Source organism: Homo sapiens, chromosome 4, assembly GCF_000001405.40.
Source record: "Homo sapiens chromosome 4, GRCh38.p14 Primary Assembly".
Lineage (NCBI taxonomy): Eukaryota > Metazoa > Chordata > Mammalia > Primates > Hominidae > Homo > Homo sapiens.
This window is the reverse complement of record NC_000004.12, coordinates 54646525-54672212: the sequence shown is the minus strand read 5'-3', so window position 1 is coordinate 54672212 and position 25688 is coordinate 54646525. Positions and strand designations below refer to the sequence as shown.

Here is a 25688-nt window from a genome sequence, read left to right as displayed (position 1 = left end):
AAGCTGCACAGGACAACTGCAGTTTCCTTAACCAAAACGGGGCTAACACCTACAGAGAAGAAATGACTTAAAGGACATATCAACCAATTACAATGTGTAGATCTTGTTTGCTTTCTTTTAAATGTGCATACATTTGTTTATATTTTTATGTATCTTCAATAGGAAAATGTGAATACTATTCAATGACATTATGTAATTATATTTATTTGGAAGGGTTTGACATTGGCATCATCATTATGTTCAGAAAAGAAGGTCTTTGTAGTTTAGGACTACATACTGAAAATATTTATAGATGAAATTCTATGATGCTTGAGACATGCTTCCCAATAATGGGAAGATAAAGTGGGTAGAGGCCGTATTGGTAAGTGTTGAAGCTAGATGGTTATATGAGGGTTCATTACACTATCCTATTTGAAATGTTGCCATAAATAAAAATATACTTTTTTTTAAAGTTCAGTTCTTTCATATTGAAAAATGGCTGCTAACACATTTTCAAACAAGCCAGGGAATACTCTAGAAGGCATAGACTCCTTACTGCTTTTTTAACCCTTCCCTAGTCAACTAATAAATTTAAATAGGGTTTACTTAAATGTAGACCCTGAAATTCTCACCCAAAACAATAGGTGCTAACCAGTGATAATTACTGTAAATAAAAGGAATTGTGAAACCTGGAGCAAATATATTTAAGCAGCTGAGTTCATAATTAGTTAAGCAGCCACCTATAGACCTAATGCTGCTAATTTCATTGAAATTGTCAACTGACACCCAGACAAGCACCTCAAGATTCCTCCTTAATACCTTCAACCAAGGCTATGGTCACTAGGGATGCCTTCCTGCCCATATTCCAAGAGGGTACCACTTTTATCCCCAGACAGCCTTTATCTTGGATTCCTTCTCGAGAACCAGAACAATACCATCTGCAGCAAGAGTCCTACTCCAGTGCCCAAGAATTGATGGAGAAGGAACTTTCCCATCCTGAGGAATGCAATGGTGTCAGTTCTCAATTTGAGGCGTCCTTCATTTGAAACTGGAGAGCTTATCATTTCATGGAACTGTGAAAGGCCACTCTAAAGTGAAAACGCAAAAAGCCGGATGAAGTCACCCTGTCACCTCTCTGCTGGCACCTCACCCAGGCCAGCTACAGTAACAGGAGCATTGAAACTTGACATGCAGTAGGGCTGATGGTGGCTAAATGGTACCGTGTCAAACAGACCGACAGTTATTACAACAGTTATTATTAAAACTGAAGTCTGTCATATTTTTTTCCCCAGGGAAAACCTTTATTTTTATATTTAGGTTTGATGAATGAACAGCCATGCAGAAAAGTGATTGGACACAAAGGATCTGGCCTAACAGTGATGGACAGAGTGGTGAAACCCAGCAAGCCCGCTCTGTACAATTCCCCTTCCCCTGGGGATGGGGCAGGACCCCTCGGGAATGAGGGTCTTCCAGGAAGAAGGGAGAGTGAACTTGCTAGGTTTTATGACTGGCTTTGGGAGAGAGGAGTTCTAGTTTCTATGACCTGCCTTGGGGAAAAAGAATTCTGGTTTCTGTGACTCACTTTGCGGGAGAAAAGGGAGCAGGAACCAGGAGGAAAGAACAGAGACCTGGCTTCTGAGGCCTTCCAGTCTCCTCTTGGTCAGAGTAGTCTGCATGCCAAGGTGCCATACTTTGGGGTTTAATGAGCCCTGACAGCAGGTCCTTGCAGTTTTCACAGGCAACTTGTGATCCAAGTAATTAGCTTTCAGTCCCCCAATTTCACAGGACTTTATAGCAAAGCCTGGTTGAAATGGCCAAGTGTTAGAAGAACCTCTTTAAAGTTGAAATTCATCAAGTTCTTCAGCTGAGGGCCTAAGAATCCCAGGTGTAAGGTTAGCAAGAGTTAGGAGTTCGGTCATATTTTAAGAAAAACATGAATGAATTTTAAAAAGAGGGGCAGAATCTCCAGTCCTTGGAGAGATACCAAAGAGCATCTAGCCTGGACCCTGAAACATCTCTCTCAGATGTGAAAGAGCATTCCGGCACATTCCAGAACAAACAGTTCCAAACCTGCAGACTAAAGCACATTAAAGGCTCCAAAGGTCCTGAAAGTGAAGACACCTATCACTAGTCAATCCTCTTGGGTAAATCCTCCATCAAAAACACCTGTTGAATCAAGAGGCCTGCTGCTCTGAAGTTACAGAAACTGGGGCAGGGACATGGTGGGATGGAGCTGGTGCTCAGCCCTCTGGAGGGCAGCACTGGTGGCAGGTAGTGAAAAGCACCTCACAAAGCTTCCCTGACTCCACTCCTGCCCATCTCCCCCAGCCCCTGAATCTCCTTTTCCTATTGTTCTAGTTGCTTTCTTTGGCTTTCCTCTTTTTTGAACTGGTACCCTCTGACCCTCTGCATCACCTTTCTTTTCTCTTTCTTCCTTAACTAACCACAATATGGAACTGAAATAAGTCTAAATTAAACTGCTTTCTATGATAGCCCCTCAAATTACATCTTTCTTTTTTTTTTTTTTTCCTTTCTGGACTCCTGGACTTTTCTCTCTCCTGGAGAGAAAAATAATTCACTAAAACATAAGCCCCAAGAGAGGACAAAGACTTTTGCCTGGTATGTTCACTACTACACCTCCGATGCTTCAATAATTATTTGTGAATAAATCTATGGATTTCTGGTATAAGGGCAGATTAAAGATACAGAAGGGATCAAAAGAATGAAGAATAAAGCTGTAATGTTAAGTACCCCTGCTGTACCGCCAGAGCTGGTGTTCCCAGTGGCCAGTATGGCGCAAAGCCACTAGACCCCGTGGGGGACCCACCTCACTCGCAGGCACACACAATGCTCTGGGCCAGACTCTTTGAAAGGCAGTGGTTCTGAAACCAAGATGATCATGTTAAATAATATCCCTTGAAAATGCTGGAATGTAAATTGGGCAACACATTCAGATCTACTAAAAAAACTCACAAACCCTTCTACATATGCTGGTTTATTTTAAAAAAGCAAGGGGGGGGGGTCCTCTTTTATCAAAGTGATGCTTTTTGGTGCGGCTAAAAACGTATATACTATTTCCCAGCTGCACATATACAGACTATACTAAAATAAGTAGAGAAACATTTAAACATTCCAATTAAGTATTTTCATTAGCTATCCTAACATATTTTAGGTTAAGAATCCTGGCTTGATTTAACAATGACAAAAAATTCTAAAAACCAGTCCTTGTGGTGTTTTATCAGCCAAATAAATATCAATATCAACCATTTCTTAAATGGAAAATCTTTCTAAGGTACCTTCTTTCAACATCAGCCACTAAAAAGGAAGTCTGCATTGTGAAAGTTGGGATGGAATTGCATTTAAAATACTTTATAAGCCAAAATTTATATCCTTTGAAAAGTACCTGTACTATCTTTACTTCAGTCTTTCCAAGTAGAATTCTCAAGATCTTTTTAACATAGTCTTGTTTTATTTTTAAGTGTGCACTAGCCAAGTAGAATAACAGACAGCCAACGTCTCCTGCCACCTTTCACACTTCTAAAATCTCCAGTAAATATTTTCCCCAGAAGCCAATTGAATCCTGTTCTAGAAATACTTCTTTTCCAATAAAAAGAGACACATTAACTTCCAGAGCTCTTTGTGATAATGCTCTCCTTTGTTCTAACTCTGTTAACTAATTCCTCTGCTTAAGAACCCGCATAGGCCATTATATTTAAATTACTGGGAGTCCCGGCCATTGTTTGGAATTTTCTAACACCCTCTGAAATGTTCTAACACCCTGTGAAATGAGTTACCTGGGGTAAACCCAAATGAAGGTGGATATTTTGCCTCACTAAGCAATTTAAAATACAAGGTAAAGGAGAACCGTTTCACCTTTTTCATTTTCCCTCTTATCTTTTTTCTACTTGGTCAAGAATGAGGCATTCACTACTGGCAAGTGCTATCAGACACGCCTCTTCCTTAAGTGACAGAGTTCTGCCCACCACAAACAGCCACCTCCTCCTCCCTCCGAAGACTCCCTGGGTTGGGGAGGGCAGCCACCAGTGTGCCCCTAATAGGTTTCTAAAACAGGACTCGGGGGGATCCAGGGAAGAATCTCAAGATGTTCCAAACCACACAGGCTCCTTATCAAGGTTTGCAGGCTTGTTTGTTGCTATCTTTGCTTCAATGAATAAACTGACATAAACAAGGTGTATTATTTTGCTAAATATTTAAAATATGTTAATAAGCAAATGAAAGGTCATCTACTGCCACAATCAGAAGTTGAGCCCACAAAATCTCTAATCTTGGCTAGGAGTGGGGAAGGTCGGTAGGGAGAAGGGAGCAGAATTAGCCTTGGACTTAAAAACAACTCAAAATACATATCCATACTGGATGTGCATCGAACATACAACACAGGTAATACATGCAAAAGTGATATCCATACTTTTCCATTTTTAAAAGTTATTTCTCTGAATAGGCAACTACTTAGCCAGATTACATTTACAAAAATCTCATCACATATAGCACTGCAGGAAAGACTTCAATTATTGAAGAATAAAAATCCAGGTGCCCTAAAAATTATCCCATCTCATCTTCCGCTACTCTCTACAGACGTTCTGTCGGCGGGAGCAGAGCCTTCCGGCTAACTCTAACCTTTGCTTTTCCTCTTCACATCTTGACCAAATTCCACCCCACTCTTTTAAGATTTAATTCAGGCCCCTATCTTCCTTTCAATTGGCCATTCAAGAAGTGATGCCTATGTCCTCCAAACCAATGGTAATGAATAGGACTGGAATTGTTAACTTAAATCTTATTACAAATCCTGTAACATTGGCGCCTACCCAGGACCATCTTCCTATAGGTCCTAGGATCCTTAAAGGCAAGGATCCCATCTTAAGACTCATCAATTTCAAAGTGACAGGTATTAATAAAATGTTATCAAGCAGTAGCTGCTGAATTGCAATGTCATTTCTACCACCTTCCCCACTGGACCATGGGCTGATCTCAAACGTGCCACTGAGCCATGACCACAAAATGACCAGAGGGAAAGGACAGATGGAAAGGGTAGTCAGAGTGGTGGGTAACCAATCCACCCCTGAGTAATCAAGAGAAAAGGACTTTGGGAGCCGTCCTTCATGCTTACAGACTTTCTGCCTACATGCTGCGTTATAGCACAGCGATTCTTAGGGTAGGGCTAAATGATAGATTATGGATTTCTCTAGACCTTGAGCTTCCTTTTGTCTTATTTTGACACTCAGTTTAAGCTACCACACCGTACAATTTCTTCTGTGTTTAGATCCCGCCACACCTAACAGATCAATAACCCATTTTTAGGCTGTGGGTTCTTTACTTGCTGTTATCAATATAGCCGAAATTGTGACTATAGTAGTGGATTATGTTAGAGTCTATTCAGCATTTATGAGAAACTCTGCCCCACAGCCAAGGCAGTGAGGAAAGAAAAACGGTTGGTTATTTTCCCATTTCTGAATTATTCCCAAACGATTTCAGGCAGGCCCTTAAAGGGCCATCAAACCAACTGAGTTGGGGAGGACCTAAGAACCATTTCAAAATGACAATTACTTGGTTTTCTTCACAGCTCCAGCAAAGGCCCTATAACTGAATAAAGTCTCTGCCAACCCTTCTAATGAAAGAATTTTCCCTTAAAAAAAAAAATTGCCGGGTGCAGTGGCTCACGCCTGTAATCCCAGCACTTTGGGAGGCCGAGGTGTGTGGATCACGAGGTCAAGAGATCAAGACCATCCTGGCCAACATGGTGAAACCCCGTCTCTACTAAAAATACAAAAATTAGCTGGGCATGGTGGCGTGCGCCTGTAGTCCCAGCTACTCGGGAGGCTGAGGCAGGAGAATCACTTGAACCCGGGAGGTGGAGGCTGCAGTGAGCGGAGATCACACCACTGCACTCCAGCCTGGCGACAGAGTGAGACTCTGTCTCAAAACAAAACAAAACAAAAAAAACAAAAAACAAAAACAAAAAAATTTTCAATTTCCTTCTGGGGCAATTTAAATGACTCTCATTTTGTTCTACTTTTCACTCACACACTAAAAATATTTGAAGACTGTCATTCACTAAACCTTCCCTCACCTTATCTTCTCCAGGCTTAATAAATCCAATTTCTTTAAGTTGCTTTCAAAGGACCTATTTCCCAAAGCTTTCGTCAATTCTATGTCCTCCTCTATACCCAGTATGGCCATTTTATTCTGAGAAAAACAAAAAACATACCTTAAACATGGCCTAATGCAGAGAAGAATACAGGATTCTCTTCCTAGTATACACTCCTTTTCATGAAAACTTACTTTTCACCATAAGACTGGTTCACAGTTAACATACCATTCTTTATAATCCCCAATGCTACCGTAATATTATAGAGCCATGTTTTGTGACTTTGGGGTTTAGTTTTATTTCTTACAGGGACCTGACCCTAAGATTTCATTGACGTCTTCCCTCCATGTCTGTGAAATTGAGTTTCAAGAAAATGCAGCTCACAAATAATCAATGAATAAACCCAGCAGAGTCCAACATCATATTCTCTCCCTCAAATAGGCCACCCCTCCTCTTGGCTTTATTTCCACTAATTCCATAGTATCAACAATACTCCCAGTTACCTACACCCATGATAATTCCAGTTCTCCTTCCCCTCAATCTCATCAGTGCCTGACACACAGAAGGTGCCCATAAATACGCCGAATGAGAGAAGACCTGCACCTTTATCCTCCTCGTGTCTCTTAAGGGCGCTTTCTTTCCAAAGCATGTACCCTAATACCCAGGTCCACTACCCCTTCACTCAGAGATAATCTAAAGAGCCCATCTTCTGCCCAGCTCCCCAACATGTAGCTCGCAGCCATGAGTTTAACCCTCCTAAATAGTCTCCACGAAAAATCTCCCTTAGATACTTACATGCAAATGTTCATTACAGCATTGTTTGCAACCCAAATGTCCATCAAAGGAGGAACAGGTAAACAGAATGTGGTCTATACATACAATGGAATATTTTTCAGTCTTAAAAAGGAAGAAAATTCTGACTTATACTACAATAGGGGTGAACCTTGAGGATGTTACGGTATGTGAAATAAACCAGTCAAAAAACAGACAAATTCAGTATGGTTCTGCATTTGCGAGTTACCTGGAATAGTCAAATTCAGAGACAGAAAGTAGAATGGTGGTTGCCAGAAGCTGGGGGAAGGAGAGGGGAGCTGCTCTTCAATGGGTATAGAATTTCAGTTTTGCAAGATGAAAGTGTTCAACAGTATGAATGTACTTAACACTATTGAAATATACATTTAAAGATGATTAAGGTAGTAAATTTCATTTTATGTATGTTTTACTATTAAAAAAAAAAAAAACAGGCCAGGTGTGGTGGCTTACATCTGTAACCCCAGCATTTTGGGAGGCTGAGGCTGGGGGATCGCTTGAGCTCATAAGTTCGAGACTATTCTCTACAAAAATAGAAATAAAAAAATTAGCCGGTGTGGTGGCACACGCCTGGGGTCCCAGCTACTCAGGAGGCTGAGATGAGAGGATCACTTGAGTTCAGGAGGTGGAGGCTGCGGTGAACTATGATCGTGCCACTGCACTCCAGCCTGGCAACAGAGCAAGACCCTGTCTCATAAATAAATAAATAAATAAATAAATAAATAAATAAATAAATAATAAAAACAGACTCTCCCTTAGTCTTGGTTGCCCACAGCAAGGGAGTGTCCAAGTTTTAAGGCAGGGCTTGGCCTCTCGCTTCGTCAGACTATTGGAACAGGCTGGGGAGTATGTCTAATTGGACAGAATGGTGGAACAGGCAGCCCTGGACTAGTATGCAAAGCCTGGGGGGCCACTCCTGGGTCAAGTCCACCTTAGCCTTGACTTCAAAGCATTCTTCATAACCTAGACCAAACTCAGCACTAAATACACATTCCCTCCATGCTCCTTGAGGCTAGTAAGAGGAGTCTTACCTTCCCAGCCAATTCCCTACCCCCAGCCATCATACCAATAGAAAGGTTTGATAATCCTGAAGTAAGATCCTAATGCCTTGTTCCTTGTACTGTAGTTTTTTTCAGCTGAAGCCACAACTACACTGCCCTCTTCCTTTAAGGTTCAGAAATTAATCTCAAATATTATCTCCTATGTGGATGCTCTTACTGATTCCTGATCTCTATTACCTGCCCATCAAGATTTAAGCTCATCTCCTTGAAAATCCTGCCCAGAGCACTTTACACTTAAGAAAACCAAATTCTACTTCGAATCAGGGGCTGTGCTCTTGCCCTGGCCCTCCTCCACCCCCAGCCTGTAACGTAGGACCAAGGCATGGGGATTGATAAGCCTTTGTTAAACTGAATCCAAAATGTTTACTGACCATTTATGTTCAAAGCTTAGTGTAAGTGCTGGAGAATAGAAAAGATGTTAAACTAATACTTACTGAACACTAACCGCTGTGTCTAGCCTGGGGCAATGGACAAGTTCAGCTTGGTCCTTGAACTCCTAGTGAAAGCAGTCATGGAAAAGCTCCTTGACTGCTTTCATGGACCCTAGGTGAACTACATGTACTTATTCACCTACAGAAAATGGCCATTTGCAGACATTCCCCCAACCTAAACTTTTATCAAGAAATTTGTATCTCTTTTGGTGGAAAGTAACCCAAGAATACGGCTAAACAAAGAGCCAAGCAGATAAACATGCATTACCACTAATTAACAACTTCATCTTAATACGAAAAAAAAAAACCACTCTACATATTCTGTTTACACGTTTTCAATTTTTTTCTAAGAGGCAAAGCTGAAAGGGGAACATAAGAAAATCAGCCTGATAGTGGAGTCCACACACTTCCTCTATGCGGGGCACTATGCTAAGCATATTACATGCAGAATCTCATTTAATCCTCGCAGGGGCCCTATGTCATCATCTCCATTTTACAGATGAGGAAATGAAGCTTAAGGAGAGGTTAAGTGTCTTGTCCCAGAGCACACAGCAGGGAAGAGGCAGAACTGGAATAAAAATCCAGCGTGTCAATTTCAGAGCCCAAGCTCGTAATTAACTGATGCCACATGTCCTGAATAATAATTTGGCTTAAACCTTAAATTTTGCAAAAATGTTGAAAACCTGTCAGAAAGGTATGCATGGGAAGATGTCTAACAAAAGTGTGTCATAACCAAAATGTAAGCATGAAAGCTAAAACATAAGATGAATGGGAAAAGTACCAGACACAAATGTTATGTTGGAGAATCTTACAAGATGTGTAGTTTTTTTTTTTCCCCCCTGGAGAAAAAAAAAGTTCAAGATCTATTCAATCTCTAGGACTAGTGATTTCCTAACTCTTATCAAAAGCTAAATAAAACAAGACCAAAAAAATTAAAGCTTATTTTTAAAACTGTCGGCCAGGCATGGTGGCTCATGCCTGTAATCCTAGCACTTTGGGAGGCCGAGGCAGGTAGATCACCTGAGGTCAGGGGTTCGAGACCAGCCAGGCCAACATGGTGAAACCCCATCTCTACTAAAAGTACAAAAATTAGCCGAGCATGGTGGCGGGTGCCTGTAATCCCAGCTACTCAGGAGGCTGAGGCAGGAGAATCGCTTGAACCCAGGAGGTGGAGGTTGCAGTGAGACGAGATTGCGCCATTGCACTCCAGCCTGGGCAACAGGGCAAGATACTGTCTTTAAAACAAACAAAAAAAATGCCTTTCTAATCTTTAGGGCAATCATCTTAAAAGAGTAGGCATTATTCCCATTTTAGGGACAATAATAATTCCTGTTTTACAGACGATAATTATGGCTAACACATATTGAGCCTGTACTATGAGGCACCACTCTAAAAGTTTTACATGTAGCAACACATTTACTGGCACAGAGAGGTTAAGTAATCTGCCGAAAGTCACAGAGCTAATAAGTGGCAAAACTAGGATGGACAATGAAAGCTCAAAAAGGTTAAACAATTTGCTCTAAGGCCATCAAGCTGTCAGTCATGAAGCCATCAGACCAACACAAGGTAGGCCGGCCTGTCTCCTCCCACTTGTCATCTGCCTGGTCCCAGGGGCATATTTGGATTCCTGCACTCACCAGGGCCCAGTGGGGAATGCCTAAGGGATGGCAGGATAAAGCCCTAGAGCCTAATGCAACCTGAAGAGCACAGGCCTCATCTACAGGGGCCATGACCTTCAATTCTTAAAGAGGAGACAGAAATAGAGATCTTGATTTAAAAAAAATCTCTAGATTGTTTAATATCGCCTCAATGTTTTCTAAAAAGCATCATGTAGGCCAAAGAAAACATGTCTCCTCGGGCTATCAGATTACAACTGCTCTTTACTTATTAAGAGTCTTAGGTCAAAAGATGAGCTGTATGATCACATCCAAAAAATGTCAGAAATCAGAGCTGCTGGGCCAAGCCGACTCAACTCAATTCCTCTCTATGACTCAACTCAATTCCTCTCTAAGTACAACAAAGATTTACACTGGATTTGCCCTCCAGGCAAACTTTTACCTCCTCTAACTCTTCCCCAGGCCTTCTTCAATCCGGACTTATAGCTGTGGCAATATCTATTCAAGTTACCAAAACTGCACATGAAATTTGCATATTTGGATTCCTGCAAATGTCATTCAATCTCAACTTTTAAAAGTTACCGCACATTAATGCAGCAAAAGAAAGCATTTCCCACATCCTAGCCTGCCAACTCTTAAACTACATTCATTCTGAAGAAAAAGCTGCCACAGCCTTGACCACTACCTTGAAGGGGTCCCCACACTGCAGGCCAGCTCTGAGAATTCCGCTAGAGACACCGAGGTTCATTTCCTCGTGTCCTTCTTTAATCAGCTGGAAGAGACTTGAGGAAATGAGTCAAAACCCTAAGGGTAACTTCGAAGGGCTGTCAACAACAGCAGCAAAATTCATCACCACCACAACATCTGTACATAAATGTTCTCCAAGGGAAGCCCGCAGAATACTTGGCACATTTCTGATGAGAATTTCTTTTGGGAGAAAAAATGGCTTTGGATGGTAGATTGTCATTATTTCTCACCATGCTATCCAGGGTAAATAGCCAATGACATCAGCCATTATTGGGGGTGTTCTCTTTCACACCTATGCACAAGACCATTTTTATGTTTTGGAGTGGGAGATGGATTTTTAACTGGCTTGCATCATCCTTTTAGAAACAGCTTACCTTCATTTCTGAGGGACGCTAACTGGAATGAGATAGCTAACAACTAAGCCAACATACCACAGGGTCAAATGCCTACAGCCCTTCCTCCAAGCTAAAATTTAATTAATCCTCCCTCCACAAATAATCCGCTTTCATAAGACACGCAATTCTAAATATTTTTCACCAAAATTGGGAAGGTAGTGACATTGGCCATCCTGTATTCCCAGAACTTCCAACAATCCCTGGCACATAGTAAAAACTCATTAAATATTTTTGAATGAGTCTTACAACAGATTCTGGTGAATCATGTGAATGGCTATAGAGCTGGGCACATGCAGCCAATCTCATCAGGCTTCACCACTGATGATTTAGGGCTTATCCTTAGCCAGTTTCTCCAGCTGTAAAATGTTAGGGGTAATAATAGTACTACTTCCTAGGCTCATTGAGACTACTAGAAATAGGTAAAGCCCCAAGCAAAAGGCCTGGCACACAGTTTCCAACTGAAGAGCAACAACTATGTACACCACACATGTCATACGAAACTTAAGGCCCATTAGAAAGCATGCTATAAATGCATAGCATTACATGATTTACAGAGTCATGAGAAAAAAAATGGGAATGAGTGGGGGAAAAAACAGAATAGGGATAAATGAATTATCTGGGGTCTCTTATTTCCAGCAGGATAATAATTTAGAGTGCCTTGTGTCCAGCTGCTGAGAATGACTCCAGCCTCACACCTGCAGGAACGAAACGGGGAAGGTATGATTCACTATTCCTAGCAGGTTCATCCTGTTAGGCACAGGAGCTGTAATACTTGGGGGGCGGGGGCCCTCAAAGGGCAATGCAGAGGAATATATGGGAATTGAAGGGCAGTAAGCATAAGCCACAGCTCCTTGCTTCAGTCAGGGGCAGACCGGTCAGATGCACCCATACTCTATGACTTCCCTGTGAGCAGGAGAGGCAGAGGAATTTCAAAGAGGCAGACAGGGGCCAGGGGAATAGTTAAAAAGAGTGCTGAGTCTACACTCAGAACATTGGAGGAGAATTCTGGACCCAAAGGATCCTTCATGATGCAGATGCCTCCTTGTACTCTGGAGGACACTGCGTTTCCCAGAATTTAAGCAACCTGCCCTAAGCAACCTGGCCAAGGGCACGCAGCCAAGAAATGGCAGAGAAACCGAGAACCCAGGGGACAGAGCAAGGCTTTGTCGTTACACCACACTGCCCCCCCAGGAGACAGACCTTAAAATTCCCTTTGCCAAAAATCTATTGGGGAGAAGAAAACCATTGATTCTTTTAATTTTTTAAAAGGGAGATATTCGATGTGGTCTTTCTAGTCTCCTACTAGGTTCTAGTTCACATAGCTTAACTGATATTAAAAAGGTCAAGGCACAAAAACATAAAGACCAGATGTGTTGTTTTAAGCTAGGTGATCAAATCCTCCAGAGAATCCGAACACTCCCTCGTGACCCCTGCTGACCCCTCCTGCTGCACAGGGGTCCAGATGCAAGGCCTCTCTGCCCCCCACAGGAAAGCCCTCACAATAGTTACAAGTCCAGGACGCTGCAGACTGCGCCTGGAGACTTTATAGAGAAACTGACCGGTAGTCGACAGTCTCAAAACCGTTCATTGCGCCGCTTCCTTTCAAGCGCTTGATTCCAGCTAAGACTCACTTTCTATCCTTACATCATCAGGGTAACCTTAAAGGTTTGTTTTAAAAAATGACCTGGGAGATAGCAGGGCTTCAGGGGTGAGCTGGGCGACCTGCACTCGCCCGCACCAGCGACACCTGGAAAAAAGGGAACGGGAGGCAGGAATCTGACCAAGGGGCTCCAGCAACCTGCAAATCCTTCACCTAAGACCCAGTTCCCGCGCGGATATACCTGGATTTCTGTTATAGCTTTAAGAACTGAGTAGGATTTGCAGAAAGTTCCACGCCATCTCCCACCCCACCCCCAGGCAGCCCTGAAGTATAGAAGTCCCGGGGGCGGGGAGGCGGGCGGTCACGAATCTCAAAAATTTCCGAAGAAAACAGGACCTGCGAATACAGGTCGCAGACACCGGGAACTAGGGGCTTTCAGAACCCGCCAGGCAGGCCGGGCACTCTGGCCGGCGTGCTAGGCGGTTGGAGTCAGGGAACGCAGAGTCCCAGCACGCTGTCCCTTGCCTTCCCGGAGCAGGCGGCAAACACAGCCTCCAGCCGCCCCGGGGCGCGCGGCAGGAATGAAACGGCGCCGCGGCAGAAAGGGGCGAGCACGGGATGTACGAAAGCAAAAAGTCTGCAACCTAGCGGCTGCTTTCCACACGCCCTGCCCAAGTTGTCCCTGTCGCCACCACCTCCAGGCTCGCGGGAGTCCGGCCCCACAACAGCCCCACGCCGCGCACTCCCAGCGCAAAAGCCTAACCCGGAGGCGGGGAAACGCCGCAGCCTTCGATTGGTCTCCACGGGTGGCGCCGCGAGCAGAGGCGGCAGCGGGTCGGTCCCCAGCTCTGGGCACAAAGAGCGCCTGCGGTTGGAAGGCAGTAGCCGCAGAGCAGAGAAAGGGCTCTCTAACTTTGCCCTCAGCGCGGCGGAGAACCTGCAGGCAGGTCCTCCCGGGCGCCGGTCACACACACGCAACTTTTAACAAAAGGAAGCTGCGGCCGCGCCTCGCACGGCAAGAGAAGGCGCTCGGTGCAAACCCCTGAGCCCCCCGCCTCCGCCCCCCGCGCAACGTCGGCACAAAAGCCACCCCAAACTCGCACGGAGCCTGCAGCCTCGCTCACGCCTAACCCCCTCTTGCTGTCCCCATTCCCGAAGAACCCCGGATTCGCGTCCCCCACCACCAGCAGCTGGGGTCTCCTCGCGCAGGTGAGCGAGGCAGGGCGCCGGAGAGTCCGAGGGCCACCTGGAGTCTCCCCGGAGGCTGGAACGCACGGGCACTGAGGGCCCGCAGTCCTCTCTCCGGATGCACCCTGGCGGGTACCACCCTCCCAGGCACAGGCTTCGCCGAGTAGTCGCACGGTCGGGGTGCCAGCCGCGGTGTCCCACCTGTCTGGACGCGAAGCAGTAGGAGCAGAACGCAGAGAAAATCCCAGGCGCCGCGAGCGCCTCTCATCGCGGTAGCTGCGATGGGATCCGAGCTCTGGTCCACGTTCCAGCTCTCGCCCAAGTGCAGCGAGCGCGGCAAAGCCGAGCCCCCAGAGCCGCGAGCGGCGAGCAGCAGCCCCTCCTCCCAGCGCCCTCCCTCTGCGCGCCGGCCACGCCCCTCCTCGCCTCCCCTCCCTCGCGCCCGCCCGGGTCTCGCTTCTTCCCGGCGGCGTCTGGCCCCTGCTCTTTCGACGTGTTAATGCCGGGGGGCCGTGCCCGCCGGGAGGAGGAGGGCGCGCGCGCCCTCTCTCCCCGCTCTTGACTCCGGAGCCCCTTTCTCTCTCCACCTTTCCACCCCTGGGATGTGGACGGCCAGGCTGAGGCCGTTCCCGGACCAAGGAGGTGCTGCCCGCTCGCTTTGTGAAGCTGGGCACCACGCACACGTTAGGGCACGGGCCCGCCACCTGCCAGGTGCTCCCCAGACAATAAAGGTCGACTGCCCGCCCCTCGAGCACGTTCGGGCGGGAGGAGGCTGGACGCCGCTGCTCGTGGAGGTGGCATGGGGATGGGGAGGGGAGCGTTAGGAAATTGAGCCCCGACATTCCCCTCCAGGCCTGTTAGGAGCTCCTGGCACCGCGGTAAAGGCTGAGCCCGGTTTCGCTAATTGTTTCTGCTCAATTTCTCCACCTGCTTCGTAACCTGTAGGAACACAGTGGGTTCCTATTGGTCGGCGTGGCCTCCGCCCAAGAAGCCCCTGCCGGGACTTGTGTGGAGACAGGGGCGATGGAGGGCGCGTGGCGAAGTTTGCTCTGGGAGCCCAGGTTTTCATACACGTTTTCCCCCCTCCCCCCAACGCTGCCAACCCCAGTAATGATTTCTCTGCCTCTGTAACAGACGACAGTTTTAGGGCTAGGGCTCTTAACTGCCCTTGCCGGTCCCAGGAGCAAAATAAAAGTACAATGATTCTCTTAAGCCCGATTTCACTGCCCAGAAAGTGCCTTACCCACAGTCTCATGGTGGATCCTTGAACGGAAAGCAACAACAGTATCTGTATAGGGGTTAATAGTTCTTCCCCACAGCGACTCGTCTTTTCATGCTCACGATAACAGCTTTGTGAGGAGGGTAGAGCAGGTATGTTTATTATTGTAGTGAGGGAAGACCCAGGGCTTGAACACTTATTGGAAGACCTACTCCAAGAAAGATGAGCTTTCCCTATGCATTCTGATAAACTAATAAGACATCCCTCCTGAGAGCTTAAGAATGGAAAAATAAATGGCAGATGCCCATCAGAAAAAGGGATAGAACAGATACACCTAGACTCTTCTCTGAAGTATCATCCAAAATTTACAGTTGCCCAGCTGCCCCACTTCATTTAATATTGAAAGCTCTCCTGTTGTTTAATAGTGTGAGGACCCAGGTTGATGTAAGAAAAATGATTTTTAAAGCTAATCACTTAAAAATTATCAGTGCTAGAGGGTGATCAAATGATCAATGTGTATAATTGCCTCTCTTTAAATGTAAGTATTTACTCACTCAGCAAGCATTTGTTTAGTGTCTGCTGTGAAGCAAGGAGGAGCTAGGTACCAGGAGTACTATTATTAATAGACAGATATGCAGATGTGGCCCCTGCCCTCACAGTCCTTATAATCAAGTATGGGGACCTACATCCCAATCTCCCAGCAAAAGGTTCGAGTCATGCGGCTGTAGGAGAACTGAAATACCAAAGGTCTCTGTGCTCTGGGCCATCAGATCTCATGTTTTTCTTAGGATGACAGATAAAAGATACCACTCAAAGCAATCATAAGTTTCTGGGATCTTGATTTATTTCTAAAATTCATTTTGTATTGAGAAAAAATCACTATGAGTTAAAATATCAACATTATGCCTGAGAGAGAAAATTTACAATTTTCTTCTTCAATCAGCTGATATTGGAGAGGATAACATCTTCAAAAGAGTGGGTGAAAAGAGACCATATTGCAATTTAATTCTAGGCACGGAACTTCTATCAGGAAAAAAAAAAACTGAATAGGGAGTTATACCATGTTGGACCGTCATTCCTGTTTTTCATTCAGCAAATATCTTTTGAGCACCTAGGTAGGCATAAGACCCACATAAATGAGTAAGACAAAGTCTCTGTCTAGGGGAATTCACAGTCCAGCAGGGAAAATAGGTACTCAAGTAAGAAACTATAATATCTGCTAACAGAGCTTATGTTCAGCCAGTACACACCAATTTGGCCTTATTGGTTGACACAATATTGAAATCCTTCTGTACTGATTACAAAAAAAACCATACCCTAAAATATCTCCCAGCCCAACCTTGAGACACGCTAAATCTCCTTAGATCCAGGAATTAAAATTTTAATGCTGGCCACAACAGAGAGCCTCCAGTACTTGTACCTTTAGGGTTGTTAGCTGTTTTTAATAATACCCACTGCCTGTTACATAAAGAAAGGAAGCATATATATAAGGCACTATGAGTGGACATATATGCTGTAATATATAAGGAACTATATTATAGATCAGCAGTGTCCAATGGAACATTGGCAATGATGGAAATGTTTTATATCTCAGGTAGGATGTATGGATTAATTCTATACTGTATTTTGTGATAGTCCTGGGCATGTTCAGGGATTGTGCTTTATGTATTTCATTGTTTTCATAATTCTTTTAGCAAGGACTCTCGATTGCAACTTATAGAAGCAGCTTAAATTAAGCAAGCAAACAAAGAAGCCTAAATGTATTGGCTCTTATAACCAGAAAGTCCAGGGACAATAGTGTTTCAGACTTTCCTAGATCCAAGGACTCAAAGTTATCAGGACTTGAAGGGCGAGTGTGTGTGGATGCATGTGTGCACAAGTGCACGTACACTTTCCTCCACCTTTATCCTCAATACTTTCCTGTGTTGTTTTGCCAACCTTGTATACACTCAGGGCAGCTCTAGGCTTACAGCTCACTAGTACCAACGGAAGTAGAGTTTTCCTGCCCCCATAAACATCTCCTGTAAAAGTTTATGGGAGAAACCGAGTCTCACTGACCTGGCTTAAGTCATGTGCCCATTGGGAAGGAGCCAGAGGGATGGAGTATGCTGATTGGCCATGTCTGAGTCATGTGCCCACCCCTGAAGCCGGGGTCAGGGATCCACTTCACACCAGAGGCCTGAGATGGGGAAGGGTGCATCCCCAAAGAAAAACTGATGCACCATCAACAGAAGAAAGAGTAATAATGCCACACAAATACAACTAACACAGCTAAAATCTCGAACTTGAAAATATTTTATTATATTTCTGACTGTAAAAGATGCTTATTGTAGAAAATTTGGAAAATACCAAAAATTATAAAAAACAAAAAAGGCACTCAAGATACAATCACTGAAGAGTTTGTTTTAATATGTTCCTTTCTTTTTTCTCTATTTATGTGTGAGGTTTTTTTCCCTTTACATAATTTAAGATCTTGGTATATTTTCAGTTTTCTATCCAGCTTTTTCACAAATAACATGAGCATTATTACAGATCACTAAAAATCCTTTGGAAACACACTGTTTAATGGCAGTATAATGTTCAATTTTATGGATGTACCATAATTCTGGGTGTTTAATCATTTCTCTCTTTTTTTTCCAATTTTTTTACTATCATAAATTACTTGATGATTAATGTCTTGGTGAATAAAACTTGCCTGCTTCTGATTAGTTATTAAGTATGCATTCCTAACCAGGGGTGGAATTACTACAACAAGAGTATAATCCTTTTCAAGTTTGCTTTTTAATAGCTTTTCTTGGTTTTCAGCAATCATCTGAAAGTCTTTTGTCCATAAAGTTGAAGAAATGAATAGATTAATACAATCCCCCGGTTAGATTCTATACTAACAATAACCACTTCACAGTTTGTGAGTCTGAAAGGAGATAATGTATGGTCTTCGTTCCAGCTTTCATTCAGTATTAATTGAACATCTCTGTGTCAGATGTAGTGTATTAGGTGTCAGGGATACCAAGTTAGACAAGACACAGATGCTGCCCTCACAGGATTTCCAGCAAATGAGGGGAGAGATGAATAAAGGGGCAAAAATTACATGGCATGAAGTACTCTAACAGAGCCATGCACAGTGATGTTTGCACACAGAGGAGCACCTGTCCAGTGAGCTCATGTGGCCTCCCAGAGAGGTGGGTATTAGACTCTGAAGGATCAGGAGCGGGGAAAGGGAAAGGAGAGAAGAATGTTCCAGCAGTGGGAAGTACAAACGCACGGGGCTAGAGGCAGGAAACAGCATAAGGAATAGGAAGAACAAGGAGTGCTGCCCAGTCAAGGAAATGGGGCTTGGAGGAGAGTGGGGAGAGTCGAGGCCACAGAGATAGACAAGAACTGTAAATACTCCGAAATGAGAACCTCATCCTCTGAGCTACGGGGAGTCACTAAAGGACTTTAAGCTGCAGCCTGTTGTGCTAAGATTTACATTTTTGGAAAGATAGTGAAGAAACTCAGTGAAGGGTGACTTGAAAGGGGGCAAAAGTTAAGGCAGGAAGAAAATGGTAAGGAGCCTAATGCAGTGATCCACAGGAGAAACAGGGAACTGAATTAAGTCCACAGAGGTGAGAATAGTGAGAGGGGATGAATAAGGAAGTTAAGATTCAATAGGCCTGTGTGACCAAAAGTATTGTGGAGCTACATGTGCTCCCATCCAGCAAGACATGGAGGTACTTGTTAGTGGACAGTGAAGGATTTGGAGTTGAGCCTGTTTGTTTCGAGATGCTCGTGGACTTTTTTTTTTTTTTTTTTTTGAGACGGAGTCTCACTCTGTCGCCAAGGCTGGAGTGCAGTGGTGCAATCTCAGCTCACTGCAAGCTCCGCCTCCCGGGTTCACGCCATTCCTCTGCCTCAGCTTCCCGAGTAGCTGGGACTACAGGCGCCCGCCACCATGCCTGGCTAATTTTGTTTTTGTATTTTTAGTAGAGATGGGGTTTCACCATGTTAGCCAGGATGGTCTCAGTCTCCTGACTTCAGCCTCCCGAAGTGCTGGGATTACAGGCATGAGCCACTGTGTCCGGCCGACTTTTTTTTTTTTTTTAATTATTTTTTTCGGAGACAAGGTCTCCTTCTGTTGTCCAGGCTGGAGTGCAGTGGTGCCCTCATAGGTCCCTGCAGCCTCGAACTCCTGGGATCAAGCCATCCTCCTGCCTCAGCCTCCTGAGTAGCTGGGAGTACAGATACATGCCATCACACTCGGCTAATTTTTTTAAAGAGATGAGGTCTCACTGTGTTGCCCAGGCTGATCTCAAACTCCTGAGCTAAAGCGATCCTCCCACCTCAGCCTCCCAAAGTGCTGGGATTACAGACATGAGCCACTGCACCAGGCCAGACTTCTTAACACTAGATATGGAAGCCTGGGGCTCAGCACAGGACCAGGCTGCAGAGAGGGGACTGCAGCCTCAGATTTGCATGAGGTCACTCTGGATAAAATGTACATTGCAAAGAAAACAGAGGAAAGATGTCCTCTCCTTGGGGAATACCCGTAAGGGACAGGCAGAGAGTACCCCATAAAGGGGCCGGGCATGGTGCCTCACACCTGTAATCCCAGCATTTTGGGAGGCCAAGGCAGCAGATCATTTGAGATCAGGACTTTGAGACCAGCCTGGCCAACATGGCAGAAACCTGTCTCTACTAAAAATACAAAAATTAGCTGGGTGTGGTGGCAGGCCTCTGTAGTCCCAGCTACTCGGGAGGCTGAGGCAGGAGAATCACTGGAGTCTGGGAGGCAGAGGTTGCAGTGAACCAAGATCGTGCCACTGCACTCCAGCGTGGGTGACAAAGCAATACTTTGTCTCAAAAAAAAAAAAAAAATACCCTTTAAAGGATCCCAATAAGCAGAGGTCAGAAAGGCAAAAAAGGGCTGTGGCAAAAGGAGATTTTCAGGAAAGCTGGAGTGTTCAACTGTATCATATCTCATAGGGAGGTCAAATAAGATAAGGGCAGAAAAGCATCAGCGGGAGTTTGTAATCATAATAAGAACTGACAACGTCTACCAAAGTTCTAAATTCTTTATATACAGTAGCTCATTTAATGTTTCCAAGAACTCTACCAGGTAGATACTCTTGTTCTCCCCATTTTGCAAATGAGGAAACTGAGGCACAAGGAAGGCACAAAATTTGAATCCTATGCCGGGATTGGAACCCTTGACATAGCCCCTGTGCTTAATTACTGTAATATCTCACGTCCCTAAACCTGCAAGTCTTTGGTAACTTTAAACACATATTGTCACACCTACACACCCACTACACACATACACAGTGTGTGGGGCCAGAATTCAGAATGTAGTGGGTTGAACAATACATTAGAAGTGAAGAGGTAGGCCCAGGGATTTATTCCTTGGAAAGTTTTCAGGTTTGGTGGTATGAGGAAAGAGGGGGAAGAGGCAAGAGATTAAGGGAAGATTGGGGAGCCCTGTGTGTTTGTAGGCTCTGCTGAAAGCACCAGAGAAAACAGATCTTGGGCTGGCACAGTGGCTCTTTCCTACAACCCCACCACTTTGAGAGGCTGAGGTGGGAGGATGGCTTGAGCCTGGAAGTTGAGACCAGCCTGGGTAACATGGCAAAATCCCGTCTCTACAAAAAATACAAAAATTGGCTGAGTTTGGTGGCGCGTGCTGATATTCTCAGCTACTCAGGAGGCTGAGGTGGGAGAATCGCTTGAGCTGGGGGCAACAGAGTGACACCCTGTCTCAAAAGAGAAAAAAAAGAAAAAGAAAAAAGAAACAGATCTGGAAGATCCAGGTGAGGGGGGAGGGTGATTTGAAAAGGGAAGTGGAAACACAATCTAAAGCCAAGATGGAAGAATGAACATTAGAAACCAGAAGGAACAAGTCCAGTGAGAAATGGAAGTGTGTAGGGTGAATTTAAAAACCCTAGAGTCCCAATGTATATATGAGTATTTAAAATATGATACTAATAGGTAACTCTTTCATAATTATCAACAATCATTCCTGAGAACTTCCTACAACAAAGGCACTGCACAGAAATACATGTGTACATACATACATAAAGTAATAGGGCATCTTATCTAAATCTGTGTTGCTTCCCAGATTTAGGAGTATTTCTAAACTTTAGAGTTCCGTAAATCTCCTTAGCACATGGTTCAGACATCTTTTAAGTCATACATCTTTTTCTGGCTTATATAACAATTATTTGTAACCTTGTCACAGCCTCTTTACTAAATCATAAATTATTGGAGGAAATTGTACTGTAAGTCAACTGTGAGTCTCAAACAAAGGGCTTGCCCAAAACAAAGCCAGGCAGGCCAGGCACCCAACAGGCACTGTGTTTACAAAACCATAATTGCTGACAAATTATGCATCTGGAGGCTTTTCCCTATGTTTTTTACTTCATCAGGATTTGTTTTGGCCCCAGGAAATCCAATATATTATTATTATTGTCATAAATTTGTATAATCCAAATCTATGTTAATCTCATAGTGAACATCATGACTCTTTTTACTTTTATTATTTTCCTTCTGATCTGATAAAGAAGTTACATTACATTGCTGCAGGAGAAAAACCTGGTTTTCTTCTTCTTTTTATTTTATTTTATTTTATTTTATTTTATTTTGAGATGGAGTTTGGCTCTTGTTGCCCAGGCTGGAGTGCAATGGCATAATCTTGGCTCACTGCAACCTCTACCTCCCAGGTTCAAGCGATTCTCCTGCCTCAGTCTCCAGCCTCTCGAGTAGCTAGGATTACAGGCATGTACCACCACACCCGGCTAATTTTTTGTATTTTTAGTAGAGACAGGGTTTCTGCATGTCGGTCAGGCTGGTCTCGAACTCCCAACCTCAGGTGATCCGCCCGACTCAGCCTCCCAAAGTGCTGGGATAACAGGCATGAGCACCTCGCCCGGCCCTTCTTTTTATTCTTAAGAATAAAAGTCTTAAATGGTTGAGTAAATACAAGGAGTAAATATGTGTTTAACACAAGAAAGAGTAAAGATAAATCAAGTTTCCTGATTGGTGGGGGACTGGGGAGACAGAACTGTTTATAATCTGTATGCAATTCTTAACATTTGCAACTAAATGATCTCAGATTAGGGACTGCCCCTCATTCTTTTTTTTTTTTTTTTTTTTTTTGAGATGGAGTCTTGCTCCGTCACCCAGGCTACAGTGCAGTGGTATGATCTCAGCTCACTGCAACCTCCACCTCCTGGGTTCAAGCAATTCTCCTGCCTCAGCCTCCTGAGTAGCTGGGACTACAGGCACCCACCACAATACCCAGCTAATTTCTATATTTTTAGTAGAGATGGAGTTTCACCATGTTGGACAGGCTAGTCTCGAACTCCTGACCTCATGATCCGCCTGCCTCAACCTCCCAAAGTGCTGGGATTACAGGCATGAGCCATCTATCCCTCATTGTTGATTGACAGAAACTATTAACACAATGGAAAAATAGCAACATGAACATGGCCTTTATTATACAGGTGCTGTAGCATAAACCATTCCGAACGACAGGAGTCTCTGATCATTACTAGACCACAGGCCTCCAGTGGTTAAAGTGACTCTGGAGATGGGTATATTTACTTGGCAGGGACCCGAGGCAAGAGGAAAGAGATAAATGAGGAAAGGTTGACTCTACAAGGTGTGTTTTTTAAAACACACCTGATATTTTGAGTTGCGTATAAGTAGGGTGATCATATAATTTATCATCCATACTAGGACACTTCTAGTAGTGAAAAAGAACAAAAGGCATCAACTAGGCACTCCAGGATGAACGGTTATCCTGAGGATAGGGGTTGTGGAAACTTCTCTGCTGCCACCCTTTTCAGTTAGGAATCAGGTCTCTTCTATCCCTAAGGCCCTTTAGGACAGAAATGCCCTGGAAATGTGGCTGCAAGTACTGAATGCTTTTGACCTCAGCTTCAGAGGAAGGTGTGAAGATTGTGGGGTGTCAGGGAGAGAGAGAGAGAGCTTAAGCCAGTTGAAAAACACCAATAGGGGGCCGGGCACAGTGGCTCACACCTGTAATTCCAGCACTTTGGGAGGCAGAGGCAGGCGGATCATAAGGTCAGGAGTTCGAGACCAGCCTGGCCAATATGGTGAAACCCCGTCTCTACTAAAAATACAAAAATTAGCCGGGTGTGGTGGCACGTGCCTGTAGTCTCAGCTACTTGGGAGGCCGAAGCAGGAGAATCGCTTGAACCCGGGAGGTGGAGGTTGCGGTGAGCCGAGATCACGCTACTGCACTCCAGCCTGGGCGACAGAGCAAGACTCTCTCCAGAAAAAGAGAGAGAGAAAGGAAAGAAAGAAAAACACCAATAGTATTGACTTGCATATTAAAAAAAAAATTTCTGGCCAAAATAATCATCATTCTCATTATCATTAAATAATACATAATTGTATATTCATGGCATAATGATTGGAATACCCATCTTTTTACTACACAAGTGACTTTAAGACTTATTTATGGGCCATAACCATATCAAGATATAATACTAGCTAATGTTTATTAATTAATCCTGATGGTTCATGTGCTGATGGAAGTGTTTGCTTGTATTATCGCATTTCTCCTTCAAACAACGCTTTGAGGTAGGTCTATCATTAGCCCCATTTTACAGATAAGGAAAGGAAGGCACTGAAAGGTCAAGTGACTTACTTGAGATCACCTGGTTAGGAAGTGGTGGAGGTAGGCTTGGAACCCAGGTAGCCAGCTGGGCCCATGCTTGTAGTCTCAGCTACTCAGAAGGCTGAGGCAGGAGAATCACTTGAGCCCAGGAGTTCTAGATCAGCCTGGACAGCATAGCAAGATTCTATCTCAAAAATAAAATAAAATAAAATAAAATAAAACAGGCTGGGCGTGGTGGCTCACAGCTGTAATCCCAGTACTTTGGGAGGCCAAGGCCAGCGGATCACTTGAGGTCAGGAGTTCAAGACCAGCCTAGCCAACATGGTGAAACTCCATCTCTACTAAAAATACAAAAATTAGCTGGGTATTGTGGTAGGCGCCTGTAATCCCAGCTACTCGGGAGGCTGAGGCAGGAGAATTGTTTGAACCCGGGAGATGGAGGTTGCAGTGAGCAGAGATCACACCACTGCACTCCAGCCTGGGCAACAAAGCGAGACTTCGTCTCAAAAAAAAAAAGAAAAAGAAAAATAGAATAGAATAGAATAGAATAGAATAGAATAGAATAGAATAGAATAGAATAGAATAGAATAGAATAGAAAGAACCCAGGCAAACCTCCACACTGCTGCCTCCCTCTGCACCACGGGACTATAGTGCACTATTGTTCCATTTTAATAGTAGGTTTTCAACTTCACACTTTACTGTTTAGAACCAAAGGGATTTTTTTTTAGCCATCTCTGTGTCCTCTACAGTGTCTTATACTGAATAAAAGTTCAAAACTTGCTTCCTGCAGACCAACTATAAAAATAAATATGTGTGGCAAATGGGATAATTTGAACACTGACAGGATATTTGATGATTTTAAGCAAGATAATTTTTAAGGTGTGATAATAGCATTGTACTAACCTTAAAAACAGAGTCTTTATAGTTTAGTGATATATTCAGTACTTATGATGAAATCCTATGATGCCTGAGAGTCACTTCAAAATTTTCCAGTGGAGCGGGGGTGAGGGGCAGTAGGACGTGGGTGGGAAGATAGATGAAGCAGGATTGGCCAAATGGTTGCTGAAGCCTGGGAGGCAGGATGCAGAGGTTCGTTATACTTTTGTAGATGTTTAACTTTTTCCACAATAAACAGTGGTTTTAAATTGTTGACGGTATTTAACCAAATGGAGAAAACCAAGGGAATGACAGGACCATAGTCAGCAAAATCTTTGCCCTGCACTCTTATCAGCAAGTTTGAGCCTTGTCCAAATCCCTTCAATGCTCTGGACCTACTGTTGTCCCTCTTAAAATGAGAGGTTTGCCCCAGATGATCTCTTATCTCTGAGGTTCCATCCAGCTCTAAAATTTTAATTATCTGATATGAGGGCAATAGTTAAAGGAAAAGGCAGGGTGCGGTGGCTCACTCCTGGAATCCCAGCACTTTGGGAGGCCAAGGCAGGCGAATCACCTGAGGTCAGGAGTTCAAGAACAGTATGGCCAACATGGTGAAACCTCGTCTCTACTAAAGATACAAAAATTAGCCAGGCATGGTGGCATGTTCCTGTAGTCCCAGCTACTCAGGAGGCTGAGGCATGAAAATGGCTTGAGGCTGAGGCAGGAAAATGGCTTGAACATGGGAATCAGAGGTTGCAGTGAGCTGAGCTCACCCATTGCACTCCAGCCTGGGCAACAGAGTGAGAATCTGTCTCAAAAAACAAAAAGAAAAGAAAAGAAAAAAAAAGTGAAAGGAAAAAAGAATGTTCCCTAACTCTTTGTCCTGGCTAGCTCTGGTGGCCAAGTGGAGCTACTGAAACCACTCCAACTTCTCTCTTCATTCCTCTTCAAACACTGCACCTTTTGCTTTCACTCCCTAGCTGTGTGACCTTGGGCAAGTTATTTAACCTTCCTGCACCTCAATTTTTTCATCTGTAAAATAGGG

General features: G+C 44.2%; 1 protein-coding gene across 8 annotated transcripts in view, besides 1 other annotated feature; it reads right to left on the bottom strand.

Annotated features, from left to right (window-relative positions):
* KIT (KIT proto-oncogene, receptor tyrosine kinase) overlaps positions 1–14256 on the bottom strand; it is an 82759-nt gene extending 68503 nt beyond the window's left edge. For all 8 annotated transcript variants that reach the window (NM_001385284.1, NM_001385290.1, NM_001385288.1 and 5 more), the window contains exon 1: positions 14132–14256. In NM_001385284.1, the coding sequence (NP_001372213.1) occupies positions 14132–14198 (67 nt within the window). In that variant the 5' untranslated portion in view covers positions 14199–14256. The remainder of the gene's footprint in view (positions 1–14131) is intronic.
* Positions 14677–14971: a silencer, noted in NCBI's record as "tiled region #7950; K562 Repressive non-DNase unmatched - State 20:ReprD". NCBI's record gives its function as "represses a minimal TATA promoter and a strong SV40 promoter by Sharpr-MPRA in K562 cells {active_cell/tissue: K562}" and the evidence as "EXISTENCE:reporter gene assay evidence [ECO:0000049][PMID:27701403]".